At 46.7% G+C, this 16,670-nt stretch overlaps 1 protein-coding gene and 1 pseudogene across 3 annotated transcripts; one reads left to right on the forward strand and one right to left on the reverse strand.

Annotated features, from left to right (window-relative positions):
• ZNF556 (zinc finger protein 556) lies at positions 1-16,111 on the forward strand. Of its 3 annotated transcripts, none has more exons than NR_145838.2 (4): positions 1-90; positions 6,162-6,284; positions 8,759-8,942; positions 9,939-16,111. NR_145838.2 is itself a non-coding variant. In NM_024967.3 (4 exons), the coding sequence occupies exons 1-4, from the start codon at positions 88-90 to the stop codon at positions 10,993-10,995; spliced, it is 1,371 nt and encodes a 456-aa protein (NP_079243.1). In that variant the 5' UTR covers positions 1-87; the 3' UTR covers positions 10,996-16,111. The 3 variants fall into 3 exon arrangements, 2 of the variants coding, with proteins under 2 accessions (NP_079243.1, NP_001287772.1); NM_024967.3 differs by having other exon boundaries at positions 6,162-6,288; NM_001300843.2 differs by having other exon boundaries at positions 6,162-6,288; positions 9,942-11,183.
• RPL35AP38 (ribosomal protein L35a pseudogene 38) lies at positions 7,474-8,735 on the reverse strand (annotated as a pseudogene).
• Positions 16,112-16,670: the final 559 nt, after the last annotated feature.

The raw sequence follows: 16,670 nt of genomic DNA on the forward strand, positions 1-16,670 counted from the left end.
GAGTGACCACAGGTGTCCCCGTCGTGCTCACCTGCACCGGCTGCGAGGAGCAGGGAGCTCCTCAAAGAGCTCAGGAACGGACAGGACATGGTGAGTGCAGGGCAGGAGCCGAGCCGGAGCCGGAGCCCTGGGAGGGGAGGGTTGGAAGCGGCCAGAACACGCTGAAACTCCCGGGGGAGCCGCCCGGAACCCCCATGCAGCCTCTGTCCCTGTGTCACCCCCGGGTCCTGCGGGGAGTTTCCTCCCCTGCCCCAGTCTTCATTCCCTGGAAAGTCGTAGTTGTCAGGACGCTGGGATGGAGGGGAAAAAAAGGCAGAAATGACTCCTGCCCTGTGGGGTCTCGCGAAGTTAATTGGAAGAAAAACTAACCCAAAGTACAAAAAACAAAACAAAAAAAAAAAAAACCTCACCCCAGCGAGGCGGTGCAACAGCCCCAAAGCAGAATGCGCTTTGGATGCAGACTTTGGGCCCAGGCCCACGTCCCTGGGAGGGGCGAGGGGTGGACAGGTGGTGCGGGCGCTCCACGTGGCGGCACGGGCTGGCCTGACCCCAAAGGCCCGCAGGCCGGACTCCAGCCCAGCCGCCCCTGCCTGGGCCTCTCTCCTTCTAAAGATTGATTTGGTTACTTGAGCCTCAGATTTTTTCAGTCAATGGAACATACAGTAAATAATAGAGTTTGAAAGATAAAATATTTCCAAGGAGGTGAATTTCAGAAAAAAATAAAGTTCTCGTCTTACATTCCATTTGTTAAAAATTCTAGCGTGCCTTTTTTTTTTCTTTTTATTTTCTGTTCCTTTTTTGCCCGTGTGGTTAAGTTTCTCACATCTGTTGTTTTATTTTCGGTGATGACAAATGGGATTCCAGGGCTTAGCCCTTGACGGGGCTCCCGGGAAAAAGAATCGCAGAGAAAGAGAGAAAATCTCTCTTTTATTATGACACGCCCCGAAATGAATACATTCCTACAAGAAAAAAATGTTTGGTATATAATTTGGTGAATTACAAAAACTCGCTAAAATATCAGTTATTCTCCTTTTCCAGGATGGAGAATTTGTGATAGATGATAATTCTGTTCTTTTATTTTTTGTTTTTATTTTTTGAAACGGAGTCTTGCTCTGTCACCCAGGCTGGAGTGCAGTGGCGCGATCTCGGCTCACTGCAACCTCCGCCTCCTGAGTTCAAGCGATTGATTCTCCTGCCTCAGCCTCCCCAGCAGCTGGGACTACAGGTGTGTGCCACCACGTCCAGCTAATTTTTGTATTTTTAGTGGAGACAGGGTTTTACCATGTTGGCCAAGCTGGTCTCCAACTCCTGACCTCAGGTGATCCACCCGCCTTGGCCTCCCAGAATGCTTGGATTACAGGCAGCATGTGCCACCATGACTAGCTAATTTTTTTTTTTTTTTCAGATGGAGCCTCGCTCTGTCACCCAGGCTGGAGTGCAATGGCGCGATCTCTGCTTACTGCAACCTCCGCCTCCTGGGTTCAAGCGATTCTCCTACCTCAGCCTCCCGAATAGCTGGGATTACAGGCACGTGTGGCCACACCCAGCTAATTTTTGTATTTTTAGTAGAGACGGGGTTCCACCATGTTGGCCAGGCTGGTCTCGAACTCCTGACCTCAGCTGATCCACCCACCTCAGCCTCCCAAAGTGCTGGGATTACAGGCGTGAGCCACCACACCTGGCCCCTTTATCACTCTTTTATATTCACTCATAGGGATATATTGTTAGTGTTCATTAATTCCACTGCTTGCTAGTGACTATTCGGGTATTTTCAAATTTTTTCCATTGTGACCAGTGCCCCTAAAGACATTATTACATGTGTGTCCACTTGAATGCCTTATTCTCAGCTGCACTGCAGTATATCCTCATCCTCTCCCCAAGAGCCTGGTCCACATATTACCGCCTACATCTCAGTTGCTGGTAACTCCATTATTCCAGCTTTCCTGTGTGAAATAATTAGTCTTCCTTGATTCTTCCTGCTCTGTCTTGCCCCACCTTGAGCCCATGAGGAAATTTTATATCTCCTCTTTTTTTAAATTTTTTATTTTTTGAGACGGAGTCTTGCTCTGTCACCGACGCTGGAGTGCAGTGGCGCGATCTCAGCTCACTGCAAGCTCCGCCTCCCGGGTTCATGCCATTCTCCTGCCTCAGCCTCCTGGGTAGCTGGGACTACAGGTGCCCTCCACCACGCCTGGCTAATTTTTTTGTACTTTAGTGGAGACGGGGTTTCACCTTGTCAGCCAGGATGGTCTCAATCTCCTGACCTCATGATCCGCCCACCTCGGCCTCCCAAAGTGCTGGGATTAACAGGCGTGAGCCACCGCGCCCGGCCTAGATCTCCTCTTATGCTGCTCTTGCACAGGACTGCACTGTGACACCCAAGCTGACACGCCTACTTCTCATCTAGTGCGGCTTTCGCCTCCTAACTGGTGTCCCGGTGTCTGTATGTGTCCCCTATGATCTAGTCTCAGCTGTCAGATGAGATCACTGCTCTGTGCAAAGGCCTGGAGGAGTCACTCAGAGCCAAAGTCCTTACTGTGGCTGATGAGTTCCCCACAAAGTGATGTGCCTCACTTCCTGTCACTCGACCCCCCTTGGCTGTCACTCCCCATTCCCCTCTGTCCAGTCACACAGGCTCTGGCTGTGCCTGAAAGAGCCAAGACCCGCTCCTTCCATAGGGCCTAACCTCTGGCTGTTTCTCCCACCCAGAACAATTTTCTCCTTTCTATATTTTTTCATTGTATACTACATTCGCCATGATTAATTTAAATTGGATCACATCTGAAAGCTTCTCTTGTCGCTAATTTCAGGGAACAGATGACATTTTACTATTTTGGGTTGGGCCCCCATGCCTGTAATCCCAGCACTTTGGGAGGCCGAGGCAGGTGGATCAGTTGAGGTCAGGAGTTCGAGACCAGCCTGACCAACATGGTAAAACCCTGAGTCTACTAAAAAATAATAATAATAATAAAAATTAGCCAGGCATGGCGGCACACACCTGTAATCCCAGTTAGTTGGGAAGCAGGAGGATGGCTTGAGCCCAGGAGTTCAAGGCTGCGGCGAGTTCTCATTGCGCCATTGCACTCCAGCCTGCACAGCAGAGTGAGACCTTGTCTCTAAAAAATTTTCTGGCCAGGCACGATGGCTCACGCCTGTAATCCCAGCACTTTGGGAGGCCGAGGCAGGCAGATCACTTGAGGTCAGGAGTTTGAGACCAGCCTGGCTAACATGGTGAAACCTCATCTCTACTAAAAATACAAAAATCAGTTGGACGTGGTGGCACACGCCTGTAATCCCAGCTACTCGGGAGGCTGAGGCAGGAGAATCGCTTGAACTCTGAAGGTGGAGTTTGCAGTGAGCCGAGATCATGCCATTGCACTCCAGCCTGGGCGACAGAGTGAGACTCCATCTCAAAAAAAAAAAGGCCGGGCGCGATGGCTCACACCTGTAATCCCAGCACTTTGGGAGGCCGAGGCAGGTGGATCACAAGGTCAGGAGATCGAGACTATCCTGGCTAACACGGTGAAACCCTGTCTCTACTAAAAATACAAAAAATTAGCCAGGCATGGTGATGTGTGCCTGTAATCCCAGCTACTCGGGAGGCTGAGGCGGGAGGATCACTTGAACCTTGGAGGTGGAGGTTGCAGTGAGCCGAGATCGCACCATTGCACTCCAGCCTAGGTGACAGAGCGAGACTCTATCTCAAAAAAAAAAAAAAATTCTAAAGACTATGACACAGGATAAAGAATATATGAAAACACAGAGGTTGCAGTGAGCTGAGATCACGCCACTGCACTCCAGCCTGGGCGACAGAGTGAGATGCCGTCTCAAGAAAAAAAAAAGTATATGACATACACATATATACAGTTAAATGTTATTCAGTCATAATAAAGAAGGAAATCCTGCCATTGGTGACAGCACTGATGAACCTGGGGCACATTATGCTATGTGAGACAAACCAGGCATAGAAAGATGAATACCGGATGATCTTACTTACATGAAGAATCAAAAAGAACCAGATTCCTAGAGGAAGAGAGTAGAAGAGTGATTGCCTGCGGCTGAGGGACAGGGGAAGTGGGGAGAGATGTTGGTCAAAGTGAACCAACTTTCCATTGTAAGGTGAATAAATTCTCTACATCCAGTGTCCAAATGGTGACTGTATTTAAGGATACTGTAATGTATACTTGAAATACACTGGGCCTGGTGCGGTGGTTCACGCCTGTAATCCCAGCACTTTGGGAGGCTGAGGTGGGTGGATCACGAGGCCAGGGGTTCGAGACCAGCCTGACCAACATGGTGAAACCCCATCTCTACTAAAAATACAAAAATTAGTTGGGCATGTATAGGGACCAGCCCCACAGGGTCGGTGGGTTTCTCCCCATGTGCAGAGACAAGAGAGCGTAGAAATAAAGACACAAGACAAAGAGATAAAAGACAGCTGGGCCCGGGGGACCACAACCACCAAGTCGCAGAGACCGGTAGTGGCCCCGAATGCCAGGCTGCACTGATATTTATTGGATACAAGACAAACGGGCAGGATAAGGAGTGTGAGCCATCTCCAATGATAGGTAAGGATGCATGGGTCACATGTCCACTGGACAGGGGGCCCTTCCCTGCGTGGCAGCCGAGGCAGAGAGAGAGAGGAGACAGAGAGTGAGACAGCTTATGCCATTATTTCTGCTTATCAGAGACTTTTAGTACTTTCACTAATTTGCTACTGCTATCTAGAAGGCAGAGCCAGGTGTACAGGATGGAACATGAAAGCGGACTAGGAGCGTGACCACTGAAGCACAGTATCACAGGGAGGCGGTTAGGCCTCGGGATAACTGCGGGCGGGCCTGACTGATGTCAGGCCCTCCACAAGAGGTGGAGGAGTAGAGTCTTCTCTAAACTCCCCCGGGGGAAGGGAGACTCCCCTTTCCTGGTCTGCTAAGTAGCGGGTGTTTTTCCTTGACACTTACGCTACCGCTAGACCACGGTTCACTTGGCAACAGGCGTCTTCCCAGACGCTGGCGTTACCGCTAGACCAAGGAGCCCTCTGGTGGCCCTGTCTGGGCATAACAGAAGGCTCGCACTCTTGTCTTCTGGTCACTCCTCACTATGTCCCCTCAGCTCCTATCTCTGTATGGCCTGGTTTTTCCTAGGTTATGATTATAGAGCGAGGATTATTATAATATTGGAATAAAGAGTAAGTACTACTAACTGATGATTAATTATATTCATATATAATCATATCTAAGATCTATATCTGGTATAACTATTCTTACTTGATATTTTATTATACTGGAACAGCTCATGTCCTCGGTCTCTTGCCTCGGCACCTGGGTGGCTTGCTGCCCACAGGTGTGGTGGCGGGCACCTGTAATCCCAGCTACTCAGGAGGCTGAGGCAGGAGAATTGCTTGAACCCGGGAGGTGGAGGTTGCAATGAGCCGGGATCGCGCCACTGCACTCCAGTCTGGGTGACAGAGCGAGACTCCATCTCAAAAAAAAAAAAAAAAAAGAAATATACTAAAAGGCCGGGTGTGGTGGCTCACGCCTGTAATCCCAGCATTTTGGGAGGCCAAGACAGCTGGATTACTTGAGGTCAGGAGTTCAAGTGCAGCCTGGCCAACATGGTGAAACCCCATCTCTACTAAAAATATAAAAATTATCCAGGCATGTTGGTGTGCATCTGTAATCCCAGCTACTTGGGAGACTGAGGCAGGACAATCGCTTGAACCCAGGAGGCGCAGCTTGCAGTGAGCCGAGATCGCCCTACTGCACTCCAGCCTGGGGCGACAGAGCAAGACTCCGTCTCAAAAAAAAAAAAAATGAAATGTACTAAGAGTGTAAATCTTACTTGTTCTTACCATCAGATTTTTTAAAAAGGTAACTGGTAACAGATGTGTTAATTAACTTCATGGCAGTCATTTCCCAGTGTATATGTGTATCAAATCATCACCTACACCTTAAATGTATACAACTTTTATTTGTCAAAGACAAAAAAACCTACGACACAGGAAGTGATTACAGACAGAGGGGAAGAGGTCTGAGGACTGAGTCTTAAATAGATATTGGCAGACTGCAGGATCTTGTGTGAGTGTCCTATGAACTGAGTTCAGTTCCGCAGTGCTGTGAGTTTTACCCCATCCTCATGTACACATATGTGGTTTGTTTTAGGACACAGTGGTCTTTGAAGACGTGGTTGTGGATTTCACGCTGGAGGAGTGGGCCTTGCTGAATCCTGCTCAGAGAAAACTCTACAGAGATGTCATGCTGGAGACCTTCAAGCACCTGGCCTCAGTAGGTGAGGATAGCATTATTTCTGCACTTAGTTATTAGATAATAAATGTTTTGTCTGGTTGCAGTGGTTCATGCCTGTATTCCCAGTGCTTTAGGAGGCTAAGGCAGGAGGATCACTTGAGGCTAGGAGTTGACAACCAGCCTGGGCAACATAGTGAGACCTTGTCTCTACAAAAAAAAAATCAAAAATTAGCCCGGTGTGGTAGCATGCTCCTGTAGTCCTAGCTACTTGAGAGGCTGAGGCAGGAGAATCGCTTGAGACCAGGAGTTCAAGGCTACAGTGACCCATGATCACACCACTGTACTCCAGCCAGGGTGACAACTTGAGACCCTGTCTCAAATAAAAAAGAAAAAAGAGCCAGGCACGGTGGCTCACGCCTGTCATCTCAGCACTTTGGGAGGCCAAGGCGGGTGGATTGCCTGAGCTCAGGAGTTCGAGACCAGCCTGGGCAACACGGTGAAATGCCATCTCTACTAAAATACAAAAAATTAGCTGGGCATGGTGGTGCGTGCCTGTAATCCCAGCTACTCGGGAGGCTGAGGCAGGAGAATTGCTTGAACCCGGGAGGCAGAGGTTGCAGTGAGCCAAGATCATGCCACTGCACTCTAGCCTGGGCCATAGAGTGAGACTCCGTCTCAAAAAATAAATAAATAAATAAATAAATATTTCTTGCTCATTAAGCCTATTCTAAGATTTAGAATGCAGAAGGGGAATACATTGGTTAATAAGACAGTTATAATCATTGATGTCCTGGACCTAAAATTCAGTAGCTTCTCTGTGATAATAAAAATCTACCTATCAATCTGTACTTTTCTTTCTGCCTTGTTGAAAAGACTTAGGATCAGCCAGGCGCGGTGGCTCATGCCTGTAATACCAGCACTTTGGGAGGCCGAGGCGGGCGGATCACGAGGTCAGGAGTTTGATACCATCCTGGCTAACATAGTGAAACCCTGTCTCTACTAAAAATACAAAAAATTAGCCAGGTGTGGCGGAGGGCACCTTTAGTCCCAGCTACTTGGGAGGCTGAGGCAGCAGAATCCCTTGAACTCGGGAGGCAGTGGCTGCAGTGAGTCGAGATTGTATCACTGCACTCCAGCCTGGGTGACAGAGTAAGACTCTGTCTCAAAAAAAAAAAAAAAAAAGAAAGAAAGAAAGAAAGAAAAAGAAAAGACTTAGGGTCCTTTTGTGTTACCAGCGCAGGTATATACTGGCGGCACAGAGAGGTTAATTGTTTGAAACCTTGTGATGATTTTTCTGTGTATTTAAAATTGTCTACCATTTTGACTGCTTGTACTTTTTTTTTTTTTTTTTTGCTTCTCATTAGTTGAAATCCTTGAGAGGGACAGCATCACAGGGACTCTGTGTCCAGTGGTCTTAGCAGGAAGATTGCTTCAGAATTTGGCATGAATCATGCCACTGTTTCTGTGGGCCTGAATGCCCTTCCCTCAGATGATTCTGGTTTGGTTTGGTTTGCCACCAGGAGTTACTGTGTTGTTGTTTGCTTTGTATACATAAGCATGTCTCTTACCCAAATAGAATTCAGTTTCATCTTGAACATAAACACCTTCAATTATTACTATTATTATTATTTTGAGACAGAATCCTGCTCTGTCGCCCAGGCTGGAGTGCAGTGGCACGATCTCGGCTCACTGCAAGCTCTGTGTCTCAGGTTCACGCCATTCTCCTGCCTCAGCCTCCCGAGTAGCTGGGACTACAGGCGCCCGCCACCACGCCCGGCTAATTTTTTGTATTTTTAGTAGAGACAGGGTTTCACCATGTTAGCCAGGATGGTCTCCATCCCCTGACCTCGTGATCCGCCCGCCTCGGCCTCCCAAAGTGCCAGGATTACAGGCGTGAGCCACTGCGCCCGGCCAAACACCTTCAATTTTAAGAAGAACTGTGTGCTCCCTTTGGTTCTGGAGACCCTGCTTATAGGCAGCCAAAATGGCCTTGGACCACCACCTTCCAGACACATTTTCTTTTGGGAGTCGTGTTCCCTGCAGGCCTCCACAGGCTCCAAGATGGCAGAAGGAGAGCTCTTGTACTTCTTCATAATGAAGTCAGGCCGGGCACAGTGGCTCACACCTGTAATCCCAGCACTTTGGGAGGCCAAGGCAGGCGAATCACAAGGTCAGGAGATCAAGACCAGCCTGGCCAATATGGTGAAACCCCGTCTCTACTAAAAATAAAAAAAATTAGCTGGGCATGGTGGCACGCACCTGTAATCCCAGCTACTTGGGAGGCTGAGACAGGAGAATCGCTTGAACCCGGGAGGCAGAGTTTGCAGTGAGCCGAGATCGCGCCGCTGCACTCCAGCCTGGGCGACAGAGTGAGACTCCGTCTCAAAAATAAATAAATAAATAGATAAATAAAATAAAATCACATAATGAAGTCATGAAACAATTAAACACCTGAATTACTTCTTTCTTTGCAGATGCCTTCCTCATCATATTGGTTCACTTTTTTGTTTCAGATAATGAGGCTCAGCTTAAAGCCAGTGGGTCTATTTCTCAGCAGGATACTTCTGGAGAAAAATTATCCCTCAAACAGAAAATAGAAAAGTTCACAAGAAAGAATATATGGGCCTCCCTTTTAGGAAAAAATTGGGAAGAACATAGCGTTAAAGACAAGCACAACACCAAGGAGAGACATTTGAGGTGAGTTGTACTTAGAAGAAAAAGGCAGTATCGCCAGGCACGGTGGCTCATGCCTGTAATCCCAGCACTTCGGGAGGCCAAGGGAGGCGGATCACCTGGGGTGAGGAGTTTGTGACCAGCCTGACCCATATGGTGAAACCTTGTCTCTACTAAAAATACAAAAATGGGCGCGGTGGCTCACACCTGTAATCCCAGCACTTTGGGAGGCCGAGGGAGGCGGATCACCTGGGGTGAGGAGTTTGTGACCAGCCTGACCGACATGGTGAAACCCTGTCTCTACTAAAAATACAAAAATAGGCGTGGTGGCATGTGGCTGTAATCCTAGCTGCTCAGGAGGCTGAGACAGGAGAATTGCTTGAACCCAGGAGGCGGAGGTTGCAGCAAGCCAAGATCGTGCCACTGCACTCCAGCCTGGGCTGGGCAACAGAGTGAGACTCTATCTCAAAAAAAAAAAATGATAATTCTGTTAGAAACAATTATCAGAGAGCCCCACATATTACTATTGTTTTTGTAATGGACTGTGGTTGAACTATCTACCAGAGTATTTCGTTTATTCTAGTTTGAAATAATTTCAACAGTACAGGAAACTTACCCTTGTATAGAAAATGGCAAAAATGTTATCCTAATATTCATTAATATATATTAAGAAATAATTGGCCGGTGCAGTGGCTTATGCCTGTAATCCCAGCACTTTGAGAGGCCAAGGTAGGTGGGTCACCTGTGGTGAGGAGTTTGTGACCAGCCTGACCAATATGGTGAAACCCTGTCTCTACCAAAAATACAAAAATTAGCTGGGCGTGGTGCCATGTGACTGTAATCCCAGCTGCTCAGGAGGCTGAGACAGAATTGTTTGAACCTGGGAGGCAGAGGTTGCAGTGAGCCAAGATCATGCCACTGCACTCCAGCCTGGGGAACAAGAGCAAAACTCCATCTCAAGGAAAAAAAAAAAGAAATTATTAAGGCATAAACCATTAATAATGTGCTACCCATTTTTAGCAGAAATCCAAGGGTGGAGAGACCATGTAAAAGCAGTAAAGGTAATAAACGTGGAAGAACCTTCAGAAAGACTCGAAATTGTAATCGTCATCTGCGCAAGAATTGTTGTACTAGTGTAAGACGGTACGAATGCAGTCAGTGTGGAAAACTCTTCACCCATTCCTCATCCCTGATAAGGCACAAAAGAGCTCACTCTGGACAAAAATTATATAAATGTAAGGAATGTGGGAAAGCCTTCAGTCGCCCTTCCTACCTACAGACGCATGAGAAAACTCACAGTGGAGAGAAACCCTATGCCTGTCAATCTTGCGGGAAGACATTTCTTCGTTCCCACTCTCTCACTGAACATGTAAGGACTCACACTGGAGAGAAACCCTACGAATGTGGGCAGTGTGGGAAAGGCTTCAGTTGTCCCAAATCCTTTCGCGCACATGTGATGATGCACGCCGGAGGGAGACCGTATGAGTGCAAGCACTGTGGGAAAGCCTTCAGGTGTCAGAAATCCTTTCGAGTCCATATGATCATGCACGCCGGAGGGAGACCGTATGAGTGCAAGCAGTGTGGGAAAGCCTACTGCTGGGCAACATCCTTTCAACGACACGTGAGAATTCACAACGGGGAGAAACCCTATAAGTGTGGAAAATGCGGGAAAGCATTCGGTTGGCCCTCATCCTTACACAAACACGCGAGAACGCATGCTAAAAAGAAACCTGTGAGTGGGGGCAGCGTGGGAAAGTCTTCCGCGAGGCCTCGCCCCTCCACAGATGTCAAATCACAAACTAGAGAGAAAGTCTATAAATGTGAAACGTGTGGGAAAACGTATGGTTGGTCCTCATCTTTACACAAACATGAGAGAAAGCACACTGGGGAGAAACCTGTAAATGCAGCCAGTGTGGGAAAACCTTCAGGCGGGCTTTGCTCTTCCAAAAATGTAAGAACGCAGATTGGACAGAAGCCCAGTAAATGCGAAAAATGTGGGAAAGCTTTCAGTTGTCCCAAAGCCTTTCAAGGTCATGTGAGAAGTCACACAGGAAAGAAATCCTGTACATCTAAGTAATGGGGGAAAACCTGTGCAAATTAATTCACATACATGGTTCAGAAAATTCACAGCAGGAGGGCCGGGCGCAGTGGCTCACGCCTGTAATCCCAGCACTTTGGGAGGCCGAGGCAGGCGGATCACGAGGTCAGGAGATCAAGACCATCCTGGCTATGGTGAAACCCCGTCTCTACTAAAAAAAAAAAAAATACAAAAAATTAGCCGGGCGTGGTGGCGGGCACCTGTAGTCCCAGCTGCTCAGGAGGCTGAGGCAGGAGAACGGCGTGAACCCGGGAGGCGGAGCTTGCAGTGAGCCGAGATGGCACCACTGCACTCCAGCCTGGGTGACAGAGCGAGACTCCATCTCCAAAAAAAGAAAATTCATGGCAGGAGAAGAATCTCATGACGTTTATAAATATGGTATTGCCTTTATCAGGACCACATCCTAAAAGTGGGCCTCTAGCAAATGAATTTGCAGTTCTCTTGCAGGTAAAGTTGAGGGGAGAATCCTGTAAGTCCTCTCTCACCTATAGTACTGAAATTTTGATACATAATGGTTTTTTCTTATAAATTACTAATGTTTCTCTTTTCATTTAGAAGTGTATTGCACCCATGGGTGATCTGATGTATTTTAATATGCATTAACTTTAATTTTTATATATTTTTTTTGTTACTCCGTGTGAGGCCATTAGACCAATGAAATATGGGTGTTTGTTGACATTTTCTGACTGGCCCTGTGTGTTCCAAGCTGGATATTACTACCATGTTACTTTTATTCCACCTTTCCATTTTACAGGGAAAAACTATTTTTAATGTTAATACTTTCTACTTATACAGGCAAGTAATTCAGTGGCTTTATGCTATTGGTCAGAGAATCCTTCTTCATTTTGCTTGTGGACTAATAGGTAGTTGGTAGAAATACGTATGCATGCAAATTCTTGGAGGAGTGTAGTCTCGTGGGAACTATTTTTTTCATCTGTTGCTGTTTGCTCTTTGACCTGGCTTCTGGGTTGGAATTGGAAAATAGGTTTTTTTGGGTTTTTTTTCTTTTTCTTTTTTGAGACAGAGTCCTGTTATGTTGCCCAAGCTGGAGTGCAACGGCACGATCTCGGCTCACTGCAACTTCCGCCTCCCGGTTTCAAGCGATTCTCCTGCCTCAGCCTCCCAAGTAGCTGGGACTATAGGCATGCACCACCATGTCCAGCTAATTTTTGTATTTTTAGTAGAGACGGGGTTTCACCATGTTGGCCAGGGTGGTCTCAAACTCCTGAAATCTGCCCGCCTTGGCCTCCCAAAGTGCTGGGATTACAGGTGTGAGCCACTATGCCTGGCCATATTATCATTATCTTAATACCTCATTGTCTCAGTATTTCTTGTGCTTCTGTGTTCCTGCTTCCATGACAGATACAATGGTACAACCATAAAAACACAGGGGATTGCGGCTGGGCGCGGTGACTCACGCCTGTAATCCCAGCACTTTGGGAGGCTGAGGTGGGCGGATCACGAGGTCAGGAAATCGAGACCATCCTGGCTATCATGGTGAAACCCCGTCTCTACTAAAAATACAAAAAATTAGCCAGGTGTGGTGGCGGGCGCCTGTAGTCCCAGCTACTCGGGAGGCTGAGGCAGGAGGATGGCGTGAACCTGGGAGGCGAAGCTTGCAGTGAGCTGGAATCGTGCCACTGTACTCCAGCCTGGGCGAAAGAGCGAGACTCTGTCTCAAAAATAAATAAATAAAGAATAATTTTTTAAAAAAGCACAGGGGATTGTTTCCCTACTGCATCTACTGTGACCTAGTATTCTTCGTGAGATAAATCTTACCTTTCATGAGAAAATGAAAGACAATACTGGCTTATCAGGTAAACTCTGGAAATTTCCTGTCACATAGAGCTGAATACAATCTCTCAGTATGTGTTCAGTTATTATGTTTGATTATGTATTATTAAAACAAAAGTTTCTGTTTCTGAGAAATATCTATTTACTGTGTTTGTGTTTTTAAAGAAGTTGGATTCTATACAAATGGATAAAATGTTTCTTAGAAATAGCCTATTTAACTGAGTTTTTCAAATAAGTTGTATACTAACAAATGTCAATCTCTGTTTTTTATTTACTGGGAGAATGTATTAAAATATTGAAAATTGCCAAATCAACATGGTGACTTTAAAAATGATACTTCTGGGCCAGGCACAGTGGCTCACGCCTGTAATCCCAGCACTTTGGGGAGGCCAAGGCGGGCAGATCATGAGGTCAAGAGATCGAGACCATCCTGGCTAACACGGTGAAACCCCATCTCTACTAAAAATACAAAATATTAGTGGGGTGTGCTGGTAGGTGCCTGTAGTCCCAGCTACTCGGGAGGCTGAGGAAGGAGAATGGCTTGAACCTGGGAGGCGGAGCTTGCCAAGATTGCGACACTGCACTCCAGCCTGGGTGACAGAGCGAGACTCCGTCTCAAAAAAAAGAATTATACTTCTGAATTAATATTACCAGATGCATTCAGATTTAGACATTTTCTTTCTAGTACATTTGTTTCCTATACTGTTATAATTTTGTCTAAGAAATTCTTTTTTTTTTTTTTGAGACAGATTCTCGCTCTGTTACCCAGGCTGGAGTGCAGTGCCGTGATCTTGGCTCACTGCAACCCCCCCGCCAAGGTTCAAGTGATTCTCCTACCTCAGCCTCCTGAAGAGCTGGGATTACAGGCACCCGCCACCACACCCGGCTAATTTTTGTATTTTTAGTAGAGACGGGGTTTCACTATGCTGGCCAGGCTGGTCTCGATCTCCTGACCTTGTGATCTGCCCACCTCGGCCTCCCAAAGTGCTGGGGTTACAGGCGTGAGCCACCGCGCCCAGCCTAATAAATTCTTGTTTATTCATAATGACAAAAACTTACGTAACGGTTTTATAAATTTAAGTATTAAATAAGTCTAGCAAAAGACATAAAAAGATAACTAATAAAACAAGTTTAAACTTTATTGGAGCCCAGTAGCAATGGCTCACGCCTGTAATCCCAGGACCCACCGAGGCGGGTGGATCACCTGATGTGAGGAGTTCGAGACCACGCTGGCCAACATGGTGAACATGGTGAAACCTTGTCTCTACTAAAAATACAAAAAATTGGCCAGGCGTGGTGGCAGGCGCCTGTAATCCCAGCTACTTGGGAGGCTGAGGCAGGAGAATCGCTTGAACCCGGGAGGCAGAGGTTGCAGTGAGCCAAGATTGCGCCACTGCACTCCAGCCTGGGCGACAAGAGTAAGACTCCATCTCAAAAAAAAAAAAATTTTTTTTTTGGATAATATCAAGGCAGAATAAAGTATAGTATCAAACTTGACAAGGTAGATAATAGGGAATGCAGAATAAAGGATCGGGCTTCAGTAAGTGACAATCTCATCATGAATTCATTTATAGTTCCACCATGTAATATGTCTTAAATACTATTTCTTTTTTTTTAATACTATTTCAAGAACTGCTCATGAGTTAGGAAATAGTGAGCAGTAATACAGAAATAACGGCAGGACCAGGGGCAGTGGCTCACACTTGTAATTCCAAAGCTTCGGGAGGCTGAGGCAGGAGGATCACTTGAGCACAGGAGTTCAAGGCCAGTCTGGGCACATAGTGAGACACAGTCTCTATAAAAAGAAATTTTTAAAAGTATCTAGGCATGGTGATGTGCACTTGTAGAGCCAGCTACTCAGGAGGCTGAGGGTGGAGGATGGCTTGAGACCAAGAGGTCCAGGCTGCAATGAGTTATCTTGCCACTGTACTCCAGCCAGGGTGACAGAATGAGACCGTGTGTCAAATTAAAAAGAAAAAAAGAAACAATAATTATTTCCCTGGCCGGGCGCGGTGGCTCACGCCTGTAATCCCAGCACTTTGGGAGGCTGAGGCGGGTGGATCACGAGGTCAGGAGATCAAGACCATCCTGGCTAACCCGGTGAAACCCTGTCTCTAGTAAAAAATACAAAAAATTAGCTGGGCGTGGTGGCAGGTGCCTGTAGTCCCAGCTACTCGGGAGGCTGAGGCAGGAGAATGGCGTGAACCCAGGAGGCGGAACTTGCAGTGAGCAGAGATCGAACCACTACACTCCAGCCTGGGCGACTGAGTGGGACTCTGTCTCAAAAAAAAAAAGAGACAAAAGGTATATTTATGGTTCAGCCTCATTTCTGCAAATATTAAAAATTTTAGGGCATGATGTATACATTTTATATATATATATATATAGTGTGTGTGTGTGTGTGTGTGTGTGTGTGTGTGTGAATGTGTGTGACGGAGTTTTGCTCTGTTGCCAGGCTGGAGTGCAGTGGTGCGATCTCAGCTCACTGCAACCTCCACCTCCCAGGTTCAAGCGATTCTCCTGCCTCACCCTCCCAAGTGGCTGGGAATACAGGCGTGCCCCGCCACGCCCAGCTAATTTTTTGTATTTTTAGTACAGGTGGGGTTTCACCTTGTTGGCCAGGATGGTCTCGATCTCTTCACCTCGTGATCTGCCCGCCTTGGCCTCCCGCAGAGCTGGGATTACAGGCGTGAGCCACCGCACCAGGCCCATGTCATATGTTTTTATGAGTTTGGACATTGGCATCTGGGACCAGGTACTTCATCTGGATTTGAACCACAATGTGGGTGTTTGTTTTTAATACCTTTGTGAAATAATTTTAAATTGCCTTATATATTTGGCATTGTCACTTTGCTGCCCCTACACACTGATGGAAAAATTGTGTTCTGCAGAAAACTAGAGTTCCTCACAGGGTGAGGAAGAGTTATGGTCATCTGCACAGTTGTAGCCCGTTGCGAGTGTTTTCCCATGTGCACAGTGATATCTAGGCAAGTGTGCCATGATTTCCTGGTGAGGATAAAATCTATGGACGGTGAGAGAACTAGTCAAGGAATAACTGAAGTGAGCTGCAGACAGGATTATCATTTTGAGTAACATCCCAATGTATTTGTCATCCTTTAATTAATTTTTATTTTTTTAATTAAAAAATAATTTTTAAGTGTAAACCTTTAATGATCCACAAAGCCCAAAATGTCCATTTGATTTTCATAGGTATCGTTTCCATATGCTTAGACTTCCAGCAGCTATTAGAAGAGAAAAATATGTAACAGCTTTGTGTTTAATTAAAGGCAAATGAAATCCAGTCTGTGTCCATTTTCAATGTTAATAGTCTTGATAGCGGGCCGGGCGCAGTGGCTCACGCCTGTAATCCCAGCACTTTGGGAGGCTGAGGTGGGCAGATCACCGGAGGTCGGGAGTTCGAGACCAGCCTGACCAACATGGAGAAACGCTGTCTCTACTAAAAATACAAAAATTAGCTGGGCATGGTGGTGCGTGCCTGTAATCCCAGCTACTTGGGAGGTTGAGGCAGGAGAATTGCTTGAACCCGGGAGGCGGAGGTTGCAGCGAGCCGAGATGGCGTCACTGCACTCCAGCCTGGGCAACAAAAGCGAAACTCCACCTCAAAAAAAAAATAGTCTTGATAGCACTGCAAAGACTTCGTGTCATTTCACAATCACAGTTAGCTTATTTGATCACTCCTTCCCTACATTCCTCTCATTGTACAAATTGGTACCAGATGGAAAGTGCTGACTGTGAGATGTCCAGGTTCTTGACGCATTGAACAAAGAATTGAACAAAACACACAAAGCAATGACAGCGCAGATTTATTTAAATGAAAGTACACTCCACGGAGCGGGAGC

The sequence above is a fragment of the Homo sapiens genome, chromosome 19, assembly GCF_000001405.40.
Source record: "Homo sapiens chromosome 19, GRCh38.p14 Primary Assembly".
Lineage (NCBI taxonomy): Eukaryota > Metazoa > Chordata > Mammalia > Primates > Hominidae > Homo > Homo sapiens.